This window comes from Homo sapiens, chromosome 2 (assembly GCF_000001405.40).
Source record: "Homo sapiens chromosome 2, GRCh38.p14 Primary Assembly".
NCBI lineage: Eukaryota > Metazoa > Chordata > Mammalia > Primates > Hominidae > Homo > Homo sapiens.
In genome coordinates, this window is record NC_000002.12 from 23770283 (window position 1) to 23796496 (window position 26214).

General features: G+C 36.7%; 1 protein-coding gene across 19 annotated transcripts in view, besides 1 other annotated feature; it reads right to left on the reverse strand.

The window, feature by feature from the left end:
• ATAD2B (ATPase family AAA domain containing 2B) overlaps positions 1 to 26214 on the reverse strand; it is a 249155-nt gene that overhangs the window by 92314 nt on the left and 130627 nt on the right. For 6 of the 19 annotated variants that reach the window (XR_001738780.3, XM_006712030.5, XM_011532920.4 and 3 more), the window contains 3 exons: positions 18230 to 18365; positions 15745 to 15941; positions 12587 to 12746 (listed from right to left, as the gene is read on the reverse strand). Coding sequence is in view for 16 of the 19 variants with exons in the window: in XM_006712030.5 (XP_006712093.1) it covers positions 12587 to 12746; positions 15745 to 15941; positions 18230 to 18365 (493 nt within the window). In the remaining 3 variants the exon portion in view is untranslated. Of the gene's footprint in view, positions 1 to 56; positions 3654 to 7297; positions 7707 to 12586; positions 12747 to 13027; positions 15942 to 18229; positions 18366 to 26214 lie in introns of those variants that run through there. The other 13 variants (NR_125717.2, XM_047444799.1, XM_011532919.4 and 10 more) reach the window with 7 other exon arrangements.
• Positions 18083 to 18132: an enhancer, noted in NCBI's record as "active region_15415". NCBI's record gives its function as "activates an Ori minimal core promoter by ATAC-STARR-seq in GM12878 lymphoblastoid cells {active_cell/tissue: GM12878}" and the evidence as "EXISTENCE:reporter gene assay evidence [ECO:0000049][PMID:35858748]".

The window sequence follows — 26214 nt, forward strand, 5'->3', positions numbered from 1 at the left end:
TCCAGCCTAGGTGACAGAGCAACTCTGTCTCCAAAAAATAAATAAACAAATAAATAAATAAATAAAAAGATTAATGAGGATGAGTATCTTTTCATGTGTGTATTTGTCTTCTGTATATCTTATTTGGTAAAGTGTCTTCAGCTCTTATGTCCATTATTTAAATTGGGTTATTATTAAATTCTGAGACTTAATATTCTGGCTATAGGTTTTAAGTTCTTGTATACAGGTATGTGATCCATTGTGAGTCAACTTCTGCATACAAAGTCTTTTTTTGCATGCTGATATCCAATTGTTCCAACACTGTCTATTGAAATTTAATCTACTTTCTTCATTGAACTGACTTTACATCTTTGTCAAAAAGCAATTGACCCTCTATGTGTGCATCTATTTCAGGACTCTATCCTATTCCATTGACCTATTTGTCAAACTTCATGCCAACATACACTGTCTAGATTACTGTAACTTTTTAAGTCTTACAATAAAGTAGTATTAAGTCTTCCAGCTGTTTTTATTTTCCAAAGTTGTTTTGACTCTAGGTCCTTTTCATCCTCATATGAATTTTAGAATAAGCTTGTCAATTTCTATCAAATGCCTGCTGGAATTCTGATAGGATGGTGTTGAACCTGTGGTTCAATCTGGAGAGAAATTACATTTTCATAATGTTGAGTCTTCCAATCCATAAGCCATGACATATATCTCCATTTATTTGGGTCTTCTTTATCTCACTAATATTTTATAGTTTTCAATGTATAAGTCTTACATGCCTTTTGTCAGATTTATCTATATTTCATGTTATTTTTTGATGTTATTTCAATTTCCTGTTTGTTGCTAGTATATAGAAAAACAAGTGTTTTACATGCTGATCCTGTCTCCTGCAACCCTAACTTCACTTACATGTTCTAATAACTTCTTTAAATATTCCATAGGATTTTCTATGTAGACATCATACGTCTACAAACAACAACAGGTTTACTTCTTTCTTTCTGGAAGTAGGGATGCCTTTATTTCTTTTTCTTACCTTACTGCATTGGCTGAAAGCTCCAGTTTAATGTTGATAGAAGTGGTAAGAGCAGACATCCTGGTCATGTTTCTGATCTTAAGGAGAAAGTACTTACTCTTTCATCACTAGTATGATGAGAAATGTAGGCTTTTTGTAGACATCATTTATCACTGAACTGAAAAGCGGGGATAGGGGGAATAATTTTGTTCCAGTAAAAAAATTTGACTTACAAAAACAGGCTGTCAGCTTGATGATAGTCTGCTGACCCCTGGTTTAGAGCATCTACTTTTAATGTGATGTATGTGATTATTGATATGGTTGCTATTTATTTTCTACTTGGCCTATATGTTTTTTGTTCCCTTTTTCCTCTTTTTCTCACTTCTCTTGGAATTACTGTATACCTTTTTATGATTCCATTTTATCTCCTTGTTGGTTTATTAGCTCTAACTCTATTGCGGCCCCTGTGTGAACTTTAAGGAATATTCCCTCTCCTTCTCTGGCCTCAGATAGTTTTCTCACACATATGCACTAACCAGTACTTAGTTAAACACTAGGGTAGGACCTCCTGGAGATAGCCAGAGTGTTCTCTCTGTGCAGCTTTCTTCTTTCTGGTAATCTGCCCTGCAAACCCAAACCACTGTGGCCTCTTCAGATTCCAGGTCTGGCTCCCCAGTTCAGAGGACCTCCAGAATATGCCTGGGCTGCTCCTCCTGGGGCTGGTATCTGGAAATTGTCTCCAGGCAACCACACTACTCCTCTTATTTGTTTCTATCTTTTGGGAATCACTGTCCTGTGTTGCCTGGTGTCCAATGCCTTCCAAACAGTTTTTCTTTAAATATATTTTGTTCATTTTTTTTTTCATTGTGTCATGTGAGGGGGTAAATAAATCGAGTCCCTTTTACTTCATCTTGGCCAGAAGAAGAAAAGAAGAAGTCTCCTGGTGTCTTTTAAACACTCTTTGAAAACCAAACTTTAATAGTTGTGCAACAATCCAAAGTAGGATGTGCCTTAATTTTTCAAAAGTATTGTTCTCTTTTTGGAAGCTTTAAGTTGCTTCTAATTTTAGCTACTATAAATAAAAAACTACAATGAACATCAACATCCTTAGAAGTAGCTATACTTTCAAGTTGACAATACAATGTTTGTAGCCTATGCAATACCACAGCTTTCCACCACTGGCTTTCTACCTCGGCTTGAATGAAGAGAAACTAAAAAAAAAGGTAAGATTAAATCTAAAGGTATGGATCTGGCATATTGTCTCTAAAATAACTCAATGATTGGTCTTTCTGCTTTTTATAAAGTGTATCTTCTATCCCAACACTACCCTAAATTAAGCAAGAAAAAAGAATAAATGAAGAAAAAAAATCCATAAAAATTTCCCACTAGTATGGAAGACAAGGAATATATTCTTTTAAAAAAATCTGCATTTGAGAGGGAACACTGCTTTTTTGGGGGGATGGGGGTGGGGGACAAGGTCTCACTCTGTCACCCAAGCTAGAGTGCAGTGGCATGATCATGCCTTATAGCAGCGTCAACCTCCTGGCCTCAAACAGTCCTCTCTGCCTCAGTGCCCCGAGCAGCTATTAATAGGACCACAAGCATGCGCCACCACGCCTGGCTAATTTTTGTACTTTTTGTAGAGATGGTGTCTTGCCATGCCCAGGTTTCACACTGGCCTCACATTCCTGGGCTCAAGCGATCTGCCTACCTCGGTCTCCCAAAGTGCTGGGATTACAGGTGTGGGCCACTGTGCCGGGCCAAGGCATTGCTTTTTCATGTGCCTATCATTATAATTCTTTTCAATCATTGTTTAGAAGATTGTCTAAGATTATACATAGCATATAATCACAAACTTAGAAGAATATTCAAAGTAGAAGGGATGTCTATGATAATCCTAGGTTCTTAATCTTTTTGACCTGGATTCATATAAGAACAGAACATGGTTGGGCATGTTGGCTCACATCTGTAATCTCAACACTTTGGGAGACTGAGGCAGGAGGATTGCTTGAGGCCAGGAGTTTCAGACAAGCCTGAGCAACATAGGGAGACCCCATCTCTGCAAAAAATTAAAAAGTTAGACAGGCTTGGTGGCTCATGTGGTCCCGGCTATTCAGGAGACTGAAGTGGGAAGATTACTTGAGCCAGGGAGGTCGATGTCTCAAGTCAGCTATGATGGCTACAGTAAGCCATGATCGCACCACTGCATTCCAGACTAGGCAACAGAGTGAGACCCCCTCTTGCGGGAGGGAAAAAAAGAATAGAATAAAAGTTGAAAACTGCACATGAATATAATTTTGTTTGTGGATTCAGAGACTCACTCATCACTTAAAACTCTAGGTTTAAAATTGTGTGGGAATAGAAACTATATATTTATGAGTTTTCACTCTGTCTCATACTTTAAGATTTTAAGACTGTCCAAATCCATGTAATTTCCAAGTTACATAAGCACAGCAAAAAAACCCCATATATTGGCTTTGAAGTCAAGACAGCTCTCAATCCATTCAGTTGTGCCATATAACATCTGTGGGTTTGCACACAGGTAATTATATAACCTCTCTGAGCCCCCATCTCCTCATCTATAAAATAAAGATATTACCACTTACATTTGTCTTCAGCAAAAAGTACTGGCTACTTAGGACATATAGATGAGTATCTATAAAATTAATAGAAGCAGTACTTTAATGAATGTAACAGCAATTTCACTGTGTTGATGTTTCTTTTGTAATTGGTAAACTTTTACTTTTAGTTCATTATGAAGAAAAAAAAATCCCAGAAGTATATTAGCTGAGATTTTGTTCAACAAAATTATTAAGAGTAACCATATTTTTAAGAAAAGCTCATTTTTATGGTATGATTTTTCATCCCAAATAATTTCATAAATAAGAAATTTGGCTGGGCATGGTGGTTCACACCTGTAATCTCAACACTTTGGAAGGATGCAGCAAGAGGATCACTTGAAGAGTTTGAGACCAGCATAGTCAACCTAGCAAGATCCCATCTCTACAAAAAATTTTAAAATTAACCAGGCATGGTTGTAAGTCCTGTAGCTGTAGTCCTAGCTACTCGGGAGGCTGAGGTGGGAGGATCACTGGTGCCCAGGAGGTCAAGGCTGCAGTGAGCCATGATCATGCCACTGTACTCAGGTCCAGGCAACAGCATGAGACCTTGTCTCCAAAGAAAACAAAAAACAGAAAAACATTTTAACTATATTTACTGGTTCAGGTCATATTTATATATTATTAGTATTTATGCATATTTCTACAGAATGTTACCATGTCTCCATTTTATAATTTCTACTTAATCTGAGATTCCTTGAGTTAGTATCTAAAAATAGAGGCTAGGCACAGTGGCTCACACCTGTAATCCCAACAGTTTGGGAGGCTGAGGCGGGTGGATCACCTGAGGACAGGAGTTCAAGACCAGCCTGACCAACATGGTGAAACCCCGTCTCTACTAAAAATACAAAAATTAGCCGGACATGGTGGCGCATGCCTATAATCCCAGCTACTCAGGAGGCTGAGGCAGGAGAATCGCTTGAACCCGGGAGGCGGGGATTGCAGTGAGCTGAGATCGTGCCATTGTGCTCCAGCCTGGGCAACAAGAGCAAAACCCTGTCTGAAAATAAATAAGTAAATAAAATAAAAATAGAATAATAAATAAAATTTACTCATCGGCCACATTTATTAAGAACATGCTTTACACAAGATGCCTATACAGATCCTGTTCTCAATCAGCTTCGAGTCTAAAATAAAGGATGAGGATAAGTAAACAAATAACTATGGGCAAAAAAGTAATAAATGTCTCAGAAAAGTTACATTATGAGATTCAGAGATGAAGGGGTACTTACAACTGGAAGGAAATCAGAAAAATCTTTCATGAACTTAGCATTTTAGTATTCCCTGAAGGGTAGGTAAATTTTATTTTATTTTTTTATGTTTTATTTTTTTTTTTGAGACGTTGTCTTGCTCTGTCTCCAGGCTGGCGTGCAGTGGCATGATCTCAGCTCACTGCACTTCCACCTCCTAGGTTCAAGCGATTCTCCTGCCTCAGCCTCCCAAGTAGCTGGGAATACAGGCGCACACCACCATGCCCAGCTAATTTTTGTATTTTTAGTAGAGATGGGGTTTCACCATGTTAGCCAGGATGGTCTCGATCTCTTGCCCTCGTGATCCGCCCGCCTTGGCCTCTCAAAGTGCTAGGATTACAGGCGTGAGCCACCGTGCCCAGCCGGGTAGGTGAAATTTTAAAACGATATGTGATTTTAAAAGCTACATGCTATTAAAAAGTACATTTTCTTGTATGTTGCTTATATCTCAATAAAACTGATTTAAAAAGAAAAACATGTAAATACTCCCAGTAGAGGCGATACATTTGACAAGGGTCCTGAAACAGTAAGACTGGGACTTACACTGGGCAAGAACTGGGACCCATATTTCCTAGAAAAGGGGCCCTCCTGGGCTCCTCTCTCTTCTCATTCTACACACTGTCTATGAAATCTCATTCACTCCTCTACGATGATGACTCCCAACCATATCTCCTGCCCACTTCTTTCAACCTCCAGAACCACATATACAACTAGTAATCCAGCACTTTGGGAAGCCAAGGCAGGCAGATCACAAGGTCAAGAGATCGAGACCATCCTGGCCAACATGGTGAAACCCCATCTCTATTAAAAATACAAAAATTAGCTGGGTGTGATGGTACACGCCTGTAATCCCAGCTACTGGGGAGGCTGAGGCAGGAGAATCGCATGAACCCGAGAGACGGAGGTTGCAGTGAGCCGAGATCACGCCACTGTACTCCAGCCTGGCAACAGAGCAAGACTCCGTCTCAAAAATAAATAAATAAATAAATAAAGTCTGCATTTTGTCTGGGTTTACCAAATATGACTCATACTAACATGTCCCAAATTGAATTTGACATCCTGCCCATAAATCTGTTCCTCCATTGGTTTACCTTCCCAGATTCCTCTAACCAGACCAAAACCTCAGGGATCATTCTAGGTTTTTGTCCACCATATTTAAATGGTTGGTCACTAAGACCTCTATATTTAATCCCTGCAGCCACTGCAATTAAATCTTAACTGATGTTCCAACCTCCATCTTACAACTGCCTTGACCTCTACCCCAAATTTGATACTAAGAGGTCAAGGCTGTGTCTTAACCATCTGTGTATCTCTAGCCTTAAACAGGATTTATACACAGAGAATATTTAACAAAAAGATGCTCAATAAACGTTGAGTCAGTGAGTAGAGAAGCAAATTAGTTTCCCACTACTCCTCCACAGAGGCACTCTATTCTCCAGACTTGTTTTTTTCATACCTCTGTTTCCTCAGCCTAGAGTCAATGCCCTTCCCAATCTTGCTAATCTCCAGGTAGTGTCTTCTCCTCTGTGCTCCACTAACCAGGTAACGTATTTCTAATAAGACCTTATGACACTGTCTTATAATCATCTGCTGGCACCTTAAGACATTATTCATGATTGCCACCTCTATGGTATCCCTTTATCTTAATAATATTTGTTATTATAATCACCAATAATTTGATAAGTGTATTTATCATCTCTAAAAATTGATGACTTTCTATATAGTAGGGATTGTGTTTCATATAACTGTTACAGGCTGAAATGCATCTCCTCTAAATTTATATGTGGAAGGCTTAACTCCCAGTACCTTAAAATATGACTGTATTTGGAGACAAGGCCTTTAAAAAGATAATTAAAATGAGGACATATGGGTGGGTTCTAATCCAATCTGACTGATGTCCTTACAAGGAGAGAAAATTTGGACACACCAAGAAACACCAAGGGCACACAAGCATAGGGAAAAGGCCATGTGAGGACACAGAGAGAAGGAGGCCACCATCTGCAAGCCAAGAAAAGAGGCCTCAGGAGAAACCAACCTGCTGACACTTTTATTTTGAATTGATAACCTCTAGAACTGTGAGAAAATTAATTTCTGTTACATTTTGTTATGGTAGCACTAGTAAACTAATACAATTACATATAGAATAATGCCTGCCACATAGTAGTTATCCGGTAGGCATTATGGATCTATCATAATACTGATATATCTATATCTATATCTATATCTATATCTATATCTATATCTTGGTCTCAAAAGGCAAGAATTGTCAGAGTCATCTTTGTAGTCTAGGCACCCAGCTCAGTAATTAGCAGATAGTACTCATAAACACTAACAGAAAAATGAGTGAGTTTGGTTGAAACAACTCATGAAATACAACTGTGGCAGATAAATTTAGAAATGTATTAAGAGCAAAACACAGAGGGCTCCAAAAGTTTGGGTGAATCTGGGGGCTTTAATCCTATACAATTTGAACAACATAGAAGATTTTGAGACAACTAAAACATTAGGGCGAAAATTTCAGCAAAACTAGTCAAATGATGGTATATAGCATATGAATAGGCCTGGGGGATATAGGAGGGGTGAACTGCAAGACCGAGAATGGGGATGAGCCAAACATAATATATCATGTATCTATACTGTAGTAATTAGGGCCAAATATCTGATACTGGTCACATTTAGAACACAGGTCAATTTCTTCTTGTTCCCATCATTTAATTTCTGTTCCCATCATCCTCAAGGGAGACAATCTGGGTCAACACTTAGGCAACGTGTATATCTTTCAAAATGTTGGCTTTTGTCTTCTATGTATATGTTAGTTTTTTCCCCAAATGGCCAAGTGTTCTGTAAAAGAGAACACTGTAAGCTTCCAAATACTCATGGGAACTTGTAAACGTAATACAACATTCATGTAATTTCCACTTGCTACACAACACACCCTGAGGATGTTTTTCTGGAACATAACAAGTGGTTCTGTTGCTAAGAAAAAAAAAAGAGGTTGCTTGATGAAAGATATGAAAAAAATCTAAACACAGCCAAAATAATGCATTTGAACAATATCACTTTTTGTATCAGAACAAGTGAAGAAAGCAGAGCCATATTCTTTCATTGTGGAACTGCATTTTGTAGTAAAATATTATTATGCACCAGAAACCATTACTTCTTCCTTAAAATATTAATATCAATGTGGTTATAATTAATTACTGAGAAGGGAAAAATATGGATTGATCTTCTCAACTGGCTTTTTCTAAGCACTTAAATTCATTTTCACTACCAGCCCTTAGATTTGTTTCAAAATAGAATTACATTTAAAGTATGGTCCAGGGAATGTAATAAGCACAAAGTATAAAGGGTCATTCTAGAGCAAATATGCAGGTACCCACTAAGAAACCAACTTATAAAAAAATTAAAGCACAATTTAAATAATGATCATAAGAATACAAACACAAACAGCTAACCTTTATGGAACTCTTATCATGTCCCAGCTACTCTGCTAAAGGCTTAAGATATTTAGGATGAACCATATGAAAATGGCAATTTCATAAGGTTCAACCTAATACACTTGCTCATTTAATTCTTACAACCATCCCATTTAAGAATGTTGTTATCATCCCCATTTTACAGATGAGGAAACTAAAATTCAGAAGGCTTAATTTGATCAAAGTTAAAGAGCTAGGAAATAGGAGAAATGGGACTAAAGCCTAGGTCTGAATCCAAAGCCCATATTCTCATTACATATTACACAATAACAGCAGTCTCTGCGTCTTGAAAACCAGGCTGAAGGTATAGGCACACAAGCACTCTCACACACTGCTCAAAACCACTACATATACAGTTGTACGGGTTGTACCCTCACATAGGACCCCAGCAAGGGAAGGGAGTGAAATGGGGCCGACATCCAGCCCATGCTTTACTATCCATCCTGTTACAGGATGGCATCCAACTGAAGAAGGTTCTCTTACTTACCAAAAATTGCTATAGTGGCTAACAGTGACCCTGATGCTGTTGGTATAATTTTTTTTTTCTTTTCTTTTTTTTTTTTTTTTTTTGAGACAGAGTCTCGCTCTGTCTCCCAGGCTGGAGTGCAGTGGCGTGATCTCAGCTCACTGCAAGCTCCGCCTCCCGGGTTCATGCTATTCCCCTGCCTCAGCCTCCTGAGTAGCTGTGACTATAGGCGCCCACCACCACGCCTCGCTAATTTTTTGTATTTTTAGTAGAGACAGGGTTTCACTGTGTTAGCCAGGATGGTCTCGATCTCCTGACCTCGTGATCCACCCACCTCGGCCTCCCAAAGTGCTGGGATTACAGGCATGAACCACTGCACCCAGCCCGCTGCTGGTATAATTTTTAAGAATTTTGAGAGAAAATTTTAATAGTACAGATTAAAAGTCTTAAAAGATATATATTCTTTGATCCAGAAATTTCACTTTAAGGAACTTATTCTAAGGAAATAATTAAGAATCAACATAAAATTTGCATTACAAAGATATTTATCAGCGTTTATAAAAGAGGAAAAAACTAAAAAATCTAATATGTCCAACAATCGGGTATTAGCTGTTATATGAGATCTACATATGATTAAAATAATGTTGGAGAAATATATTAATTAATAAGCTTTTCACAAAATATTATAGGAATGACAAAATTTATAAAAATCCTAGTCATTTTAGTAAAACTAAGATGCATGTATATATTCTACATACAGTATATCCGTGGATGGGGACGGAAACAGAGAAAAAACACTAAGTGATGGAATTAATACGTTTTTAATATTCTTCTTTGTTCTACTTTCGCATATTTTTCTATAAGATATATATAAGCTGGGTGCACTAGCTCACATGGGTAATACCAGCACTTTGGGAGGCCAAGGTGGGCAGATCACTTGAACCCAGGAGTTTGAGACCAGCCTGGGCAACATGGCGAGACCTCTTCTCTACAAACAAAAACACAAAAATTAGCCAGGTGTGGTGGCGTGTGCCTGTATTACCCAGCTACCAGGAGGCTAGGGTGGGAGGATTGCTTGAGCCCAGGAGACAAAGGTTGCAGTGAGATGAGGTCACACCGCTGCACTCCAGCCTGAGCAACAGAACAAGATGCTGTCTCCAAAAAAAAAAGTATATACTTGTGTGTGTGTGTGTGTGTGTGTGTGTGTGTGTGTGTTATATAAAATAACTTAAAAAGAGGTAAAGCAAACAAACAGCAAAAACTATAAGAGGCAAATAACATAAAGCTGAAAAACTGTTACATAGGAAGTCCAGCCATCCAAAATTTTATTCTGCCTCCTAACTTGGAAATTACTGGGTTGATGCAAAACAACTGCAGTTTTTGCAATTATAGAATCTGTGATTTATTATGGTTGAAACTGAAGCAAAAAATATCTAATTTCATGTGAAATTGAGAAATCTAGGTCATTTTACCATATGGCCTGGGTTGAGAACCACTGCCTCAAAATACAGATACAAAACAAAGCACAGGCCAGGCGCGGTGGCTCACACCTATAATCCCAGCACTCTGGGAGGCCGAGAGGGGCAGATCACCTGGGGTCAGGACTTTAAGACCAGCCTGGCCAACATGATGAAACCCCATCTCTACTAAAAATGCAAAAATTAGCTGGGCGTAGTGGCACGTGCCTGTAGTCCCAGCTACTCGGGAGGGTGAGGCACGAGAAAGAATCACTTGAATCCAGGAGGCGGAGGTTACAGTGAACCACTATCGCGCCACTGCACTCCAGCCTGGGTGACACAGTGACTCTGTCTCAAACAAAAAACAAAACAAAGCACAAATTATACTCTAAATATCTTTAGATAACAAAAACTTAAATGAATGTTTTAAAAATAAGAAGCATTTTTTTTTAGTATTACCTATCAAATAAATAGAATTCTCAATAGAGTGAAAAAGCGAAAAGTGGCTCCTGACAGCCAGGAGTTGGCCTGGCACTGTCAGCTAGGCCTCGGCGTACTACAATTAAACATAAACAATTTCACAGAAAGTGGCTCCTGACAGCCAGGAGCTGGCCTGGCACTATCAGCTAGGCCTCAAGGTACTACAATTAAACATAAACAATTTCACAGAACACCAGTATCAGACAAGGCCACCCTGTGCTCATGATGGGTCAAGAGAAAAATTAAACCACTCTGTCTAATCATGTCTAAACACAGACAAAACATGAACATTGTCCTGACCACAAAAAAATAAATAAATAAATAAATAAATAAATAAATAAATAAATAAATAATCAGGCTGGGCACAGTGGCTCAGGCCTGTAATCCCAGCACTTTGGGAGACCGAGGCTGGCAGACCACTTGAGATTACAAGTTTGAGACCAGCCTAGCCAACATGGTGAAACCCCATCTCTACTAAAAATACAAAAATTAGCTGGACGTGGTGGCAGGTGCCTGAAATCCCAGCTACTCGGGAGGCTGAGCCAGGAGAATCACTTGAACCCAGGAGGCGGAGGTTGCAGTAAGCTGAGATCATGCCACTGTACTCCAACTGGGGCAACAGACGGAGATTCCATCTCAAAAAAATAAAAATAAACAATAATAGCCAATGACCAAACATAATCCTGACTAATATGAATGACTGCTGTTTCTTTTTTTTTTTTCTTGTCTTTCCTTTTTATTTTGAGAAAGGCTGCTGTTTCTTTTTTTTTCTTTCTTTCTTTTCTTTCCTTTCCTTTTTATTTTGAGAAAGGCTATCGCTATGTTGCCCAGGCTGGAGTACAGTGGCATGATCACAGCTCACTGCAGCCTCAACCTCCAGGGCTCAAGTGAGCCTCCCACCTCAGTCTCTCAAGTAGCTAGGACTACAAGTGCGCAACCACCACACACAGCTAATTTTTGTAATTTTTTTGTAGAGGCGAGGTTTTGCCATGTTACTCAGGCTGGCCTGCTAACTCCTGAGGTCAAGTGATCCATTCACCCCGGCCTCCCAAAGTGCTGGGATTACAGGTGCAAGCCACCACACCCAGCCAACTTCTGTTTCTTTATCAATCACAGCTTTATTAGCCTTGCTCCATTTTCTTGCCTTCTAGGTTCTTAAAATTATTCCTACTTTCTAACAGCATCTAATCCACTGCAAAGCCCCACTTCCTTATACTCTAACCAAAATCACTTAACGCAAGTCCAAATCCTATATGGTTCCCTATGACACATATTCTTCCTCAGTATAATAAATCACCTCATTTTGTTTTACTGCAGATATATTCCTGGCAGTCTTCCCTGGAGAGCGATAACAAAAGTTGGGACTATACACTTGAATACAGGATGGATTAGGAGTAAAATAACACAGTTACATAGAAATCCCAACAATCAAAAGAACAGATAACATTCTACATAAAGAACAGATAACATTCCACATAAAAGGATCTTTTGACACATAAACTGATCCTATTATGGATTTCCATGAATTCGAAATTCTGAATCTTTATCAGCCCTGCAATTGTTGACTAATATATTTTCAATTAAATTCTCAAATTACAATGTAAATATAAAAAGTAGAAGGTAAATGAAGAAACAAACCCCTGAAAATAATACCTACAACTATACAATTCTCTACTTTAAACACATTATTTTTATGTAGGCTATGAGCTTCTTATTGAGAAGTTTTGAAAAACAACAGGTCATGAAAATTATCTATCTAGAACACAGGCATGACTTAGTATTTAAACGGTAAACTGTCTTCTGATTGATTATCAAGGGGAACCTTGCCCTATGCATCCTTACCTCCTGGGTCCTTATCTGGATTATACTCTAAAGCATTGCTACAGATGAGGTCAATATCTTTCAGGAAATCCTTTGCAGTCAGGTAATTATGTTTATCAATTTTAGTTATTACTGTTGATAAGTCCATTGGTTCCTTGATTACTTCAAGATAATCTGAAACCTAAAACAGATATTTTAATAAAAATTACTTCCAGTTTTTCACATCATCTCAGTTCATAAAAACACAAAATAAAAACAAAGTTCTTTAAAAATTAAATCTAAATATCAAATAAATAATTTATAAAGATAAAATTGCAGCGCTATTTATGCTACCAAAGTTACTATCTGTCATACTTTCCATGAAAGCTTCAGTTTCCAAGTCATACCTAAATCAACTCTGAAATGTTTCTGTTCTTAAAATTTGAAACCATGTCAGCTTTTTTTTTTTTTTTTTAATCCTTCGGGCATATCCGGGAAGATAATGTATGGGCAAAAGTTCCCAATGAGCATCAATAAATATGACTTCAGGAAAAAAATTAAGGAAAATAAAAAGCAAAGACTTTTCATACTATGAGATAAGTTATTCTGATAAATCTCTTTAAATTTTCAACAAAAATTTTCTTTTTCAGTTTTCTAGAGTGAACTATTTCATGGAAAGTATTTTCCACTCCTTTGGAGTCATCACAAACATTTAGAGTCAATTATATAAGAAAATTAAGTATAGTTTTCCTAACCAGTACGAGATCTGCTGGATTTGTCCCTAAGTATAAAGAAATCTACAAACAAACAAACATGCTGCTTTCTGTGCTGATTTTCTGTGAGATAACCCTAAACAGGAGATATTACGTCATGATTTGCCCAATAAATTGAGTATCCCTGACCAACAAGAAAGTGTTAGCAACTTATGTATCTACTGCCTTCCCCAATGCAAATCTCAAATCAAGTAAATAGGTTTGCTATAACAGCAGTCTTAGCAGTAATGTCTAAAATTAGTCCAGGAAAGATTTCTGGGGAGATGGTTAAGTTCTGCTCTATGAAGTTTCAGATGGCATCGATACCATTATTTTTAAATTTACACATTCACACACACACGCACATATATGTAATTTATATGTTTTTTAATGTTTAGGATTACTTATAAAAAATATTAAGTAGAAGTGTATGTGTGCTTTATTTTTCACCTTTTAGGAACTGAAAAACCAGTCAATCTCCCTATAAGGGAGGTAGCAGAGTTATACTGAAACAAACTACCTCAGAAGATATTAGCTGGATTCCTGCTTCTGGTATTTGACATAAATGCCTGTGTATAAGTGGAAACTGTTTTATAAACTAAAAAGCACTATAAAATGTATATTATTAAAGACTATAAATGTTACCACTCTATGCTTAATTTTAAATTTAACATTTATTTTCTAAAGTTTTGCTTTCTCTGCAGTCTGCTTTGGAATTTGATAAAGTTTTCAGACATTTTAAATTCATTAGTTAAATAAAAACTTTTGTTTTAGGTTATCTTGTTTTCCCCTCTCTATCCTTCCCAGAGACTCCTATGTTCTCAGCTTAAGAGCAGAACGAACCTAAGAAGAAAGATAAAGGAGAAAAGAAGAGAAATACAACCCTAAATAAAATATTTATCTGACCAACATTTTCTATCCCCTTACCGTCATTTATAAAACTATTACAGATGGCATTTGAAAATCTGACAAATCTTCTTTGATTAGAAAGAAAAGAGTTTTCCTGAGCAAAAGCAAAATTGGTTTACTCTCAGCATGGGAAGTTGAGTTGGGGGCAAGCCCCTATCCTTTAAGAAGTGTTAGAGTCCAAATATACCAAATAGGGGAGTGGAAGAAAGGGCACACACACATATCACATTTATTTAAAATAATTTTTTAATCGGCTGATAGTTTTAAAATTATTTAAAAACACTATGGGGGGGGGGATGACCCAGCAATATAAACTGATATTTATTAATTTAAAAAGCCAATTAGGCATGTCCTGTTATCCCAGTGGAAAGATATAAAGTAGCTATGATAATGAATGTGGGCTTTGAATTTTAAAAAACTTTCAAGTCTTGGCTATGTCACTTGCCAACAAGTCTGTTTCCTCAACTGCAAAGTAAGAATAATAATAATGATCCTACAAGGTTGATAAGAGGATCAAATGGAAAAAACAGTGTATTGTGGATAAAGGTACAAATAAAATTATAGATAGTCTCTTCATTCCAAAAAGGGGGGAAAGTATTTCTTTTCAGACTTGCCAGGGGGGAGGAATGTAAATGCTAGCTCATTCTTCCTAGTAACAGATGAGGTAATGGTTTCAAAGGTATCTGCTCAGGTCCAAAAGCACAGATTTCACAATTAGGATACAACATTAAACCCTGAATCACCCATAATTCATTTTTTTAAAAAAAGAAATGAATAAAAACTAAAAACACCAAAGCTGTTCAAACATGGAGTCTGAACTATAAGAAAGAGGCCAGTAAAGATTACATTGTGTTCATCCACACACTACATTATCCCAGGATAAAACAAAAACCAAAAATGTAGTTGATAGTATTAGATTCCCAAATGGAAAATTTCTTTTCTCATCATCACAAACCATGCTCCCACAAGCACACAAAATAATACACATATAAAGTGAGAAATTTTCCACTGGGAGCAGAGAAAATCCTTAGAAAGAAAAATAATTTAGTTGCACGGGATATGTTTTAACTTCAAACAGCATCCCAGCCACAGGCATTTCCAAAATATGAAAGACAAAGAAATTTCAGGTTTTTAGCTACCTCTTTTGATGAGGTATACATAATTTGGGAAATGCCAGTATTAACTGGTATTGATTGGTTAATACCAATATACTCTTTGACAGCAGAATTTATCCTGGAATAAAAATAATCTAGTATGGATATTTGACTAAGGCAACCTTTAATCCTCTTAAATCGAAGAGTAAGAGACCACAAAGGTTAATAATAATTAAGAGGCCAATATAAATTGGTCGCTAATTTCATCCAAAAGTCACCAGATGTTTGCTGATGACATCGGTAGTTATCACATGGATTAAAATTTTATAGGCTAGGGGTAATATTCATCCATGCCTTTGCTTTTTTTTCCTTCCAAAAAAAGATGTCAATATTTTTTTCTTTTAGCCAGTTCAACTTCACTGTTTGCACACTACTGAAACAAGACCTCTTCAATATCCACCGGTTTGCTGAAGATGTTAAAGCGTTTATCTGTGGCCAGCCTCTTGGTTACATCCCTGAGAAACAACCGCAACTCTCTTAAAGTATTTTCCTCCTGGTCCTCCATTCGACTTTTTTCTGATTCTGATAATTGACGAGGTGGAGAAGGTAGTGCAAGAGGAAGCACTTCCATAGCACAAAGAGCTAGAGAAAACAGAAGAAAATGTTAAGATTCCAACGTCGTGGGCCAGGACCCTTTTTTGGCATTCTCTCAAAATGTTCTTTAAAGAAAAGAATTACAAATACAGTCATGTGTTGCTTAACAACAGGGATACATTCTAAGAAATGTGCAGTTAGGCAATTTTGTCATTGTGTGAACATCATAAGAGTATACCTGCACAAACCTAGATGGTATAGCCTATGACATACCTAGGCTATATGGTAAAGCTTATTGCTCCTAGGCTACAAACCTGGACAGCATGTGACTATACTGAATACTGTAGGCAACTGTAGCACAGTCGTATTTCTGTATCTGAACATAGAAAAGGTATAGTAAAAATACAGTATTATACTTTTATGAGGCCACCATCGTATATGCAGTCCATCGTTGACCAAAACGTCATTATGCAGCGCATGACTATATGTGTGAAACATGCAAATCCAGCAAGTAAAAATTTGCACAGAAACAAAAAGGGAATAGCTTCACTTTATAAAATAACTCACAACAGGACCCCTTTAAAAAACAAAATAATTTGATTTTGAAATATTATTTATATATAACTTACGAGAAATAGTTCAACACAAATATCTCCCAGTAAAGTATTACACACTGATTTTCTTAAGTCAACCTTGTTTAAAAACTGCTTCTTAAAATGGTATTACCTTAAATGCATAAAAAGTATAATGGGCAAGTAATATTTGAACCTTCCTATCCCCAAAAGAATTCTGATTTTAGGCAGGTCTCCTGCCCTCGTATTCTGAGTACAACAGAGTACGGATAGTGAATGGCACCTGCAGGAAGGGAGGGAAAAAAAAAAAAAGGAACTAAAAAAAGAATTCCACAGTCATGAAGGAGATGGAAAACCAGTCCTAAGTGTCATATGTAAAATCCATGGTACTCACTATCTATCCTAAGAAAAACAAAAAATCTTCTTAAAAGGTAAAGTATTAACTTTCCTAATTACAACGTTCTCTAATTTTAAAAGATTTCCCCTGATATCACACTACAGCTCAGAATTAAAATTCTAAGAATTTTTCACTGATTTTTAAATAGCTCCTAAGATGAAAAGTGAAAGTCAACAGAAGCAACTGAAAAAGAATTATATCAATCGTAAACATAGAAAATTCAGATCTATGAGATTAAAATATATCTAGAAGCATGAAAGATTGAAATAAATCATTTTCATAATGAAATATTTAGATTAACAGGAAGCAACAAAATAAACATAAATAAGGTATAATTTACATATTCAATTTCCCAAGGTTTTGGGAGGGAAAAAACCATAACTACAGCAATTTGACAGGGGTTCATTTTTAAAACACCAATAAAATTTGGAAAGGAGCCACTAAAGAACAATAAAATTATTAAAATGTTACATAATATAACCAATGAAAAACAAACAAAGTAAAAAGAATATGGAAAAATAAGGACTTGGCAGGGATGGGAAATGTATTGAGTATCCTACAAGAAGGGCTCTAAGAAACATAAAAGATGGAACAAGGGTAAAGAGGCTTAAAAATTTTTACCAAACAGGATTGCTACTTCCTAGAAGAGGCTGAAAGATTAAGCAGGTAGATCTTATCCTTTACACATCTTTAAGATTAGGAAAAGAAAATCTCTTTTGAATGACTTAGAATGCAGCCCTTACTATGTCAAGGAACTGAAATCTGAGAAATTCTTGAGGTACCTCTTAAGCTCAATTCTTGAGTCCAAAATTATTGAGTCCAAACCCAAGAAAAATCTAACACTTAAAACAAAGGCAGGATAGATTTTCAAATGGCTAGAATACAACGTTAAATGTAAGGGGTCCTAAATAAGTATTTGAAAAGTCAATCAATAAATAAACTAGAAATGGCAAATGTTCTAAGCAGCTATTAGCCCATCAAATCTATCATGGCCCAAAAAGTAATGAGCACAACACCTGGTGTTCACAACCTGCCAGTTCAACTCCTGGGTACTTACTGTGACTAAAACAGAGGAGAACTGAAGACTTTTTTCTATGACTTTTTGAGCCCCATAATGTGACATCTACCACAGGATGTGGTTGAAGTCATAAGAAGAAGTCCTGTTTAGCAAAGCTTTAACAAGGCTATACTTCCCAATCTCAAGTCAGGTGAACACAATGGACACTTCCACACGTCATCTAAAGATAAACAGAACCTGACAAACTGTCCTCACTTCCAAGAAGAAAGGGCTAAAATAAACTGACTCCAAGAAAGGGTATTTCTTAACTCCATCCCTCCCATTTTCCTAAAGGCTTTACAAACTTTACCAGCATGTTTCCTTCGTGGTGGAGCCATTGATGCCTGATTGAGAATCAATTCTTGAAAAAATTTTCTTCTGTCTTCTTCAATAGGCCTTTGAATATACAAGACCTCTTCATACTGTATTCTAAAGATACATTTAACCTACACATATACACACACACAAAGACATTAAATATATAAAGAATTAAAAGCTTACATATCATACCAAATTGCAATGTCTTCATCTTCCAGTATCATGTTCAATATTCATAGACCATTCACATGGGGTTATAGTTAACCTAGTCCTAGGCTATGCTGTTGAAGGGTTCAACCGCATGGGCTAAACAGGAATGGAAGAATGTCCAGTTACCCAAGTCATTAATGAATGATACTACATATCTAGTAAGAGTCATCAGATAATAGCAAAAAGGATAGCTGGTTGTAACAGATGGCAACAATCTCAAAGGCTTTTACATTAAGAGGGGAAAAGTAATTACTTCGAATCTATAATAGTACAGCTGGAAGAATGTTAACATTGCCATCTCTTATCCTCGTATTTCTTTGTACTCCCTATCCATTGACTTCCCTTACTGTGCTCTTTCCCTACCAAGTCTATTTCACTGTAATCTCTGGAATCCTGGTTCCACTGCAAAGAAACTATACCTCTAGTCTAGTTTATGCTCCATGACACACTCCAAAAAAATTAAGCCAATTATTCTCATATCCTTCAGCTCCATCCACTTGGTGATTACTCACCTCTTCTGTTTACCTACTCAGACTTTGACCCCAGGTGTCCACCTTCCAAGATATGCTGTTTAAATGCTCTTTACCTCATCCAAATTTGTCTACTATGGCATTAAACACTGTATTTAATTTTTATGGTTTTTCTAGAATGTCTACCTTCTACCTTCTAGACACCAAACTCCCTGAGAACAGAGACCACTTCTTATTCACCTATTTTTCTATACCTATCCCAGTGCCTGGTATTTAGCAATGCCTAATAAGTATGTACTGAAAGAGTTAACCTTGTGATTTTTGTTACCCAGCCCAAATCAAACAGGAAACTGCAAATAAAAAAAGGGAGAAAGTCACCAGTATGGAAAGATAGACCAACCATGACACTGTGAAAATATGGATTAGAATCAAAGACATCATATTCCTGCCCAAATTTAGCCACACATTTGTGGTAAAATTTGAATAATTCATTCAGTTTGTCATTTCTAACCACTTACTGGATTAAACCTATGAAATGAACCCTTAAAAATTCCATAAATATGATATCATTCTACCTTCATAACAATGAGGTAAGTATTATTTCCTCATTTTACAGATGGGGAAACTGGGGCTTAGAAAGATTTAAGTAATTGGCTTAAGGTAATAAAGTGAATAAAGAAGACTAAATTATATAAACTGTCAATGCCTTTTCCAGCTCTGAAATTCTAAGAGAAGAAGAAACAATGAAAGGTAAACATCAGAATTCAAAAACTGGATGGGGAATTATTTATCTCAACCTAAAGTCAAATCATTTAAAAGTTCATAAAATTTCACCTTGTGTCGTTCCAGTGCTTTTGTAGACTACCTTCATGCACAGTTCCCTCCAACCCTTTAATCAATGCTTTGATGGCCTTTCTTTGAAAGTTCTGGAAGTAAATTTACTACTGAACATGCTTTGTATGTCAAACATCATGCCAGACACTGCAGTTATAAAACTGAAGAAAATGTCTTTGTTCTCTGCTGTCAAAGATTTTAGAGTATCAGAAGAAAAGCATTATGATACTATGCTGGGAGTACTGTAACAGAGGTAGCAAAACAGAGCAGAGACCTTGCAAGGGGTGAAAAGACACTAGGTAAGATGTACCAGAAATCACTTATATCAATTGGGTCTTGAAAAATAAGTAGAACTTAATATCCTAGACGTACCACGATTTCGTTCAAGAATGGCAAAACATTTCATTTTAACTATTTTCTCTGATAATTTTCAATACTATGTTAACACTTTATGAATACAAAAGCATACCAAGAACAGGCCTACAATAATCCATGGATATTCTTACCAGGTTACTACCAACACCTTAGAATCCAACATTTTATAAGTGGGATAAATTATACTTCTCTAAGTTCACTCCTAACTTTATCTTCTGACAGTCCTAGCCTCAAACTTCATGGTGTACCAAAGACAAGCCTTCCATAATTCCCAGAACAAATCACGCTCTGTTTCACATTGGTTCACACTGGTTGTGATACATAGTATTCACTCATTCCTGACCCCTTCTTTAATGCACCACTCAAGCTGATGCTTTCTGTGTGATGCCTTCCCTAACTTTCCCAGATGCACTTAGGCACACCTTCCAATATTTCTGAAAAAACAGTTCAATAATGTTCAGTAAATTTTTACAGATGTGTAGCCATCACAAGCACATTTTAGAACATTTCCATTACCCCAAAAAGTTTCCTCAGGCCTATCTGCAGTCAATCCCCACTCCCACTCCCATGTCCCAGCCTAACAACCACTGATAATGCTTTCTGTCTCTAGAGAATTGCCTCTTCTAGACATTTTGTATCATACAACTGACAGTCTTTTATGCCTGGCTTCTGTCACTTAAAACTTCAGGTTTTTCCAAGTTGTAGTATGTATTAGTATTTCATTCCATTTATTGCTGAATAGTATTTCATCACATTTTGTTTAGCCATTCACCAATTAAGGAACATTTGGATTGTTTCCACTTTTTGCTAGTATGAGTACAACAACTAGAAACATTCCCATACAAATGTCTTTCTGTGAAAGTATGTTTTCATTTCTTTTGTGTAGATAACTAGGAGTGGAATTGCTGAGTCATACCATAAATTTATGTTTAACTTTGGAAAGTGGCTGCACCATTTTACAATCCCACCAGCAGTATATAAGGACTCCAGTTTCTATATCCTTGCCAATACTTGGTATTCTTTATTTTTGATTACAGCTATTAGGTTGGTGCAAAAGCACTTTTTTTTTTTTTTTGCAGCTTTCAATGGCAAAAAACGCAATTACTCTTGCCCAACCTATATTTTAGTGGGTTGCAGTGGTATTTCATTCCTGAATGACTGATAATGAGCATCTTTTCATACACTTATCATCCATTTACATATACTCTAAGGAACCTCATATAAAAGGAATTATACAAAATTTGTCCTATGACTAAGTTAGCATAATGTCTTCAAGCTTCATCCATGTTACAACATGCATCAAAATTTTCTCCTTTTTAAGGCTAAATAATGTTCCATTGTATATGCTACATTTTGTTTATCCTTTCAACTATCAATGGACACTGAGGATGTTTCCACCTTTTGGTTACTATGAATGATGCTGTTGTGAACATGGGTGTGCAAATACCTGTTCAAGTCCCTGCTTTCAATTCTTTTGAGTAAGTACCTAGAACTTGATTGGCTGGATCATATGGCATTTATATATTTAAGATAATGTCATACTGTTTTCCACAGTGGCTATACAATTTTACATTCCCACCAGCAATGCAAAAAGGTTCTCCTTTTTCCACATCCTCATCAACATTTGTTAATTTCTGTTTTTTTTTAATAACAGCCATCTTTTTTTTTTTTTGAGACGGAGTCTTGCTCTGTCGCCCAGGCTGGAGTGCAGTGGTGCAATCTCGGCTCACTGCAAGCTCCGCCTCCTGGGTTCACGCCATTCTCCTGCCTCAGTCTCCCAAGCAGCGTGCCACCACGCCCAGCCTAATTTTTGTATTTTTAGTAGAGACGGGGTTTCACTACGTTGGCCAGGATGGTCTCGATCTCCTGACCTCGTGATCCACCAGCCTCAGCCTCCCAAAGTGCTGGGATTACAGGCATGAGCTATGGCACCTGGCCAACCTTTTTGTTTTATCGAATTTATTAACACATTCCTTAGAATTGTTAGTCCCCAGTTTTGAAGGTAGGGTTCCTGCAACCTTTGTAATAAGAAAAATTAATGGTTAAGAACTTAAGATCTAAAAAAAAAAAAAAGAACTTAAGATCTCAATAACAAAAGGTGTGAAAAAGAGGTCAGAAATAAACCTAAGAAAGCTTTCATAAATAAAATTTGCTTTGCTCAAAACAAAATAGGATATCAACCCATTAAATAAAAATAGAAATAGTTTACATATCTCAAAATAGTAACTATGTTTACCTACTATCCTATTTCACTTAGGGAAAAAAAACTTGTGGCCGGGCACGGTGGCTCACACCTGTAATCCCAACACTTTGGGAGGCTGAGGTGGGTGGATCACGAAGTCAGGAGATCAAGACCATACTGGCTAACACAGTGAAATCCCTTCTCTACTAAAAATACAAAAAATTAGCTGGGCGTGGTGGCGGGCGCCTTTAGTCCCAGCTACTCCAGGAGGCTTAGGCAGAAGAATGGCGTGAACCCGGGAGGCAGAGCTTGCAGTGAGCCGAGATTGTGCCACTGCACTCCAGCCTGGGCAACAGCGAGAGACTCTGTCTCAAAAAAAAAAAAAAAAAAAAAAAAAAAACTTGAGAAGATTTCCTTCCTCTTAAATTTTAAGAATCACGTAATTGTTTTATTACCAAAATATTAATATTAAAACAGTTCCCTTGTATCTTATGATCATTAATCTGAGTTTTCAATGCCCCTACTTGATTTTTCTAATTGAAGTTACTGATTTTCCCCTCCCAGGTCCTACCATAAACCTAGAGAGACAATGACAAGAAACATTTAAGATAACAAAATGCTATATGTAATCTTACTTTCATCAGCATAGCTGAGGAATATTTCTTTAAAATTCATTTCCAATATACTGAATTATATAATCTTAAACCTGCTCATAATAATTTAATAACAAAGCAGATACTGTGAATGTCTTCAGAAACAGAAATACAATTCTGGCCAAGGTTTACATTCCTTCCTACAAATATCTCTAATTTATTTGCTTCCTCCCTTAAGAGTCTTTTTTCTGTGCTCAACCTTAAATTAACTCTCTTCTCTAATTCTCCATAAATACCTTGCAATTCCCATATATCTCAAATAAAATTCTCCAAGTATCTTCAGAAAGGGTTTATAAAAGTAAATTTACTTACACTACAATTCTGCATGGTTCTCAAGTGGTCAAAAATTTAAAGAAAAAATATTTTAAAAGAAAGAATTATGCAGAAAGCGAGTGAGGCTGGGCAAGGGTTACTTAAATCCTACGTGATGATTCAACTGTTAGTTCCTTTTTTCATGCAGCAAACTTTTACAGAGTAATTCCAATGTGTTAGCACTGTGCTAGGAATGGGAGAAATGATGGCCAGTAACACCTGAAAGTGCTAGTGGTCTAGAGACCAGAGGTGCACAAACTTTTTGGTCTCAGGACCCCAAAAAAGCTTTTATGTATGTGAGCTATATGCATCAATATTTACAGATTTTAAATAAGCCCATTAGATATTAACACTAACATTAAAAGAATAAAACATATATTCTTTTGAAAAATATATTTTTCCAAAATATAGAAAGAACATAAAACACATAAAACAAAATTTAGCGAGAAAAGTGGCACTGTTTTATCTTTTTTTTGAGACAGCGTCTCACTCTGTCACCCAGGCTGGAGTGCAGTGACACGATCTTGGCTCACTGCATCCACCTCCCAGGCTTAAGCGATCCTCCCACCTCAGCCTCCTGAATAGCTGGGACTACAGGCACGCGCCATCATACCCAGCTAATTTTTGTATTGTTTGTAGAGATGGTGTTATGCCATGTTGCCTAGGCTGGTCTCATACTCCTAGGCTCAAGTGATCCGCTTGCCTCAGCCTTTCAAAGTGCTGGGATTACAGGCATGGGCCACCACATCCAGCCAGCACTGTTTTAAATGTTTTCAATTCTCTTTTGTGTCTGGCTTAATGGAAGACCACTGGATTCTCATTTCTGCTTCTGTATTCAATCTGTTACAATATGTTGTTTGACTGAAGTATATAATGAAAACCCAGACTCAGCAGATATGTAGTTGGAAATGAAACTTGATAATCCCCTGAAAAAGTCTTGGGGGCTCCTCAGGGGTCCTTGGACCACACTTTGATAACAGCTGGTCTGGTGCAATGATTTCCAAACTTTTTTGATCAAACACCTCATCAGTAAAAAATCTGAAAATATTCTCATTACTATATGCATATTTATTTAAATATACTATTTTGCTAATATACTACTTGGAAATAATATATTATAAACCATATACACATGAAATATACTGTACTATTAAATATACTGTTTTGCTATACTACTATTAAATATACTATTACCAAAATAGTATATTTAATAGTACAGTATATTTCATGTATATATGGTTTATAGTTTTATTATAAACCATATATGCATGAAATATTTAATATGAAAAATAAAAATGAACAGAAATGCTAATGTTTTCCCCAGTATCCCAATGCACAAGTACAAACTTATCGTGGGGACTATTGAACTACAAGAGAGGGATATATACAAAGAGACACAAGAGAATGTCAAAGAAGTTCTAAAAGATGAACTTGTCATTTTGTCCCACTAATAAGACACTAATCATGGAAGGACTAATTATTTTGGGGTTTTCTTCTATTTTAAAAATAGAGCAGGAAAACTTCCTTTCTCCTTCCTCTGTGAATAATGAGGTTTATTTTCTGATTATAATGATAGTTATTTATTATGGAAGATATAGAAAATAAAGACAATAAAAAACTAAAATGACTATAACTTTTATATCCACAGATAATTACTATTAACATTTCTGTGTATATCCTTCCAGTTATATCTTTATAAACACCATACACATTGATTTATTACCTGCATTTTTTAAAACAATACATTTAAACATATTTTCATGACATTAAATTTTCTCTTTTATTTTTGAGACACGGCCTCACTCTGTTGCCCAGGCTGGAGTACAGTAGTACAACTGTAGTAATAGGCCATTTTTTCCTCTGAGAATTGGTTTTGTACTGCCCACTCTCTACTTCATTTCTTCCATAGATCTGGCAACTTGCTAACCTACAGCTACTTGGTCTACAACTCTCTGTGCTACTCATTCATTCACCAAATATTTATCAATATGTGCTAAATATTAGAGATTACTATCTTAGTTTGTGACCTAAAGAAAGCAAGCAGGCTAGGCGCAGTGGCTCACCCCTGTAATCCTAGCACTTTGGGAGGCCGAGGTGGGAGATCACCTGAGGTCAGGAGTTCAAGACCAGCCTGGCCAACATGGTGAAACCCCATCTCTACTAAAATACAAAAATTAGCTGGGCATGATGGCAGGTGTCTGTAATCCCAGCTACTCGGGAGGCTGAGACGGGAGAATCACTTGAACCTGGGAGATGGTGGTTGCAGTGAGCCAAGATCACGCCACTACACTCCAGCCTGGGTGGCTGAGTGAGACTCCATCTCAAAAAAAAAAAAGAAAAAAGAAAAAAGAAAGCAAGCATTCTAATGGTAGACCTGAAATTAAATTGTAAGGCTTAGCTGGACATGGTGGCTCACACCTATAATCCCAGCATTTTGGGAGGCTGAGGCAGGAGGATCACTTGAGACCAGGAGTCAAGACCAGCCTGGGAAACATAATGAGACTTCGTCTCTACAAAAGTAAGTAAACAAATAAAATAAAATGTTAAGACTTGGGAACAGAGGAGAATTTCCTACAAACTATTAGTATAAAACATGTTATATAATCAAAAGAGAATTCCCATAATCTTCAGCCCACAAATACGATATCCACGATAGCTTTAAAAACTACTTATAAAGACAAAAGCGAGAGGGAAAGGAGCTGAAATTTCAGAATTCAATGCTGGCAAATTTCTAATATTTTAGATAGTAATTATGGGTATTGGTAAATAAATACTGAAAAAGGTTACTAGTCAGTGGGCTTTCTGAATCCATTATAAGTTATGACAACAGTATAACATTGGAAATGTACATGATATAATGTTAGCTTTAAAATACTAAACCAACAGTAAAATTACATATGCATATGGGCAACAGAAGTAGGTAAAATAAAAACTGCTTATC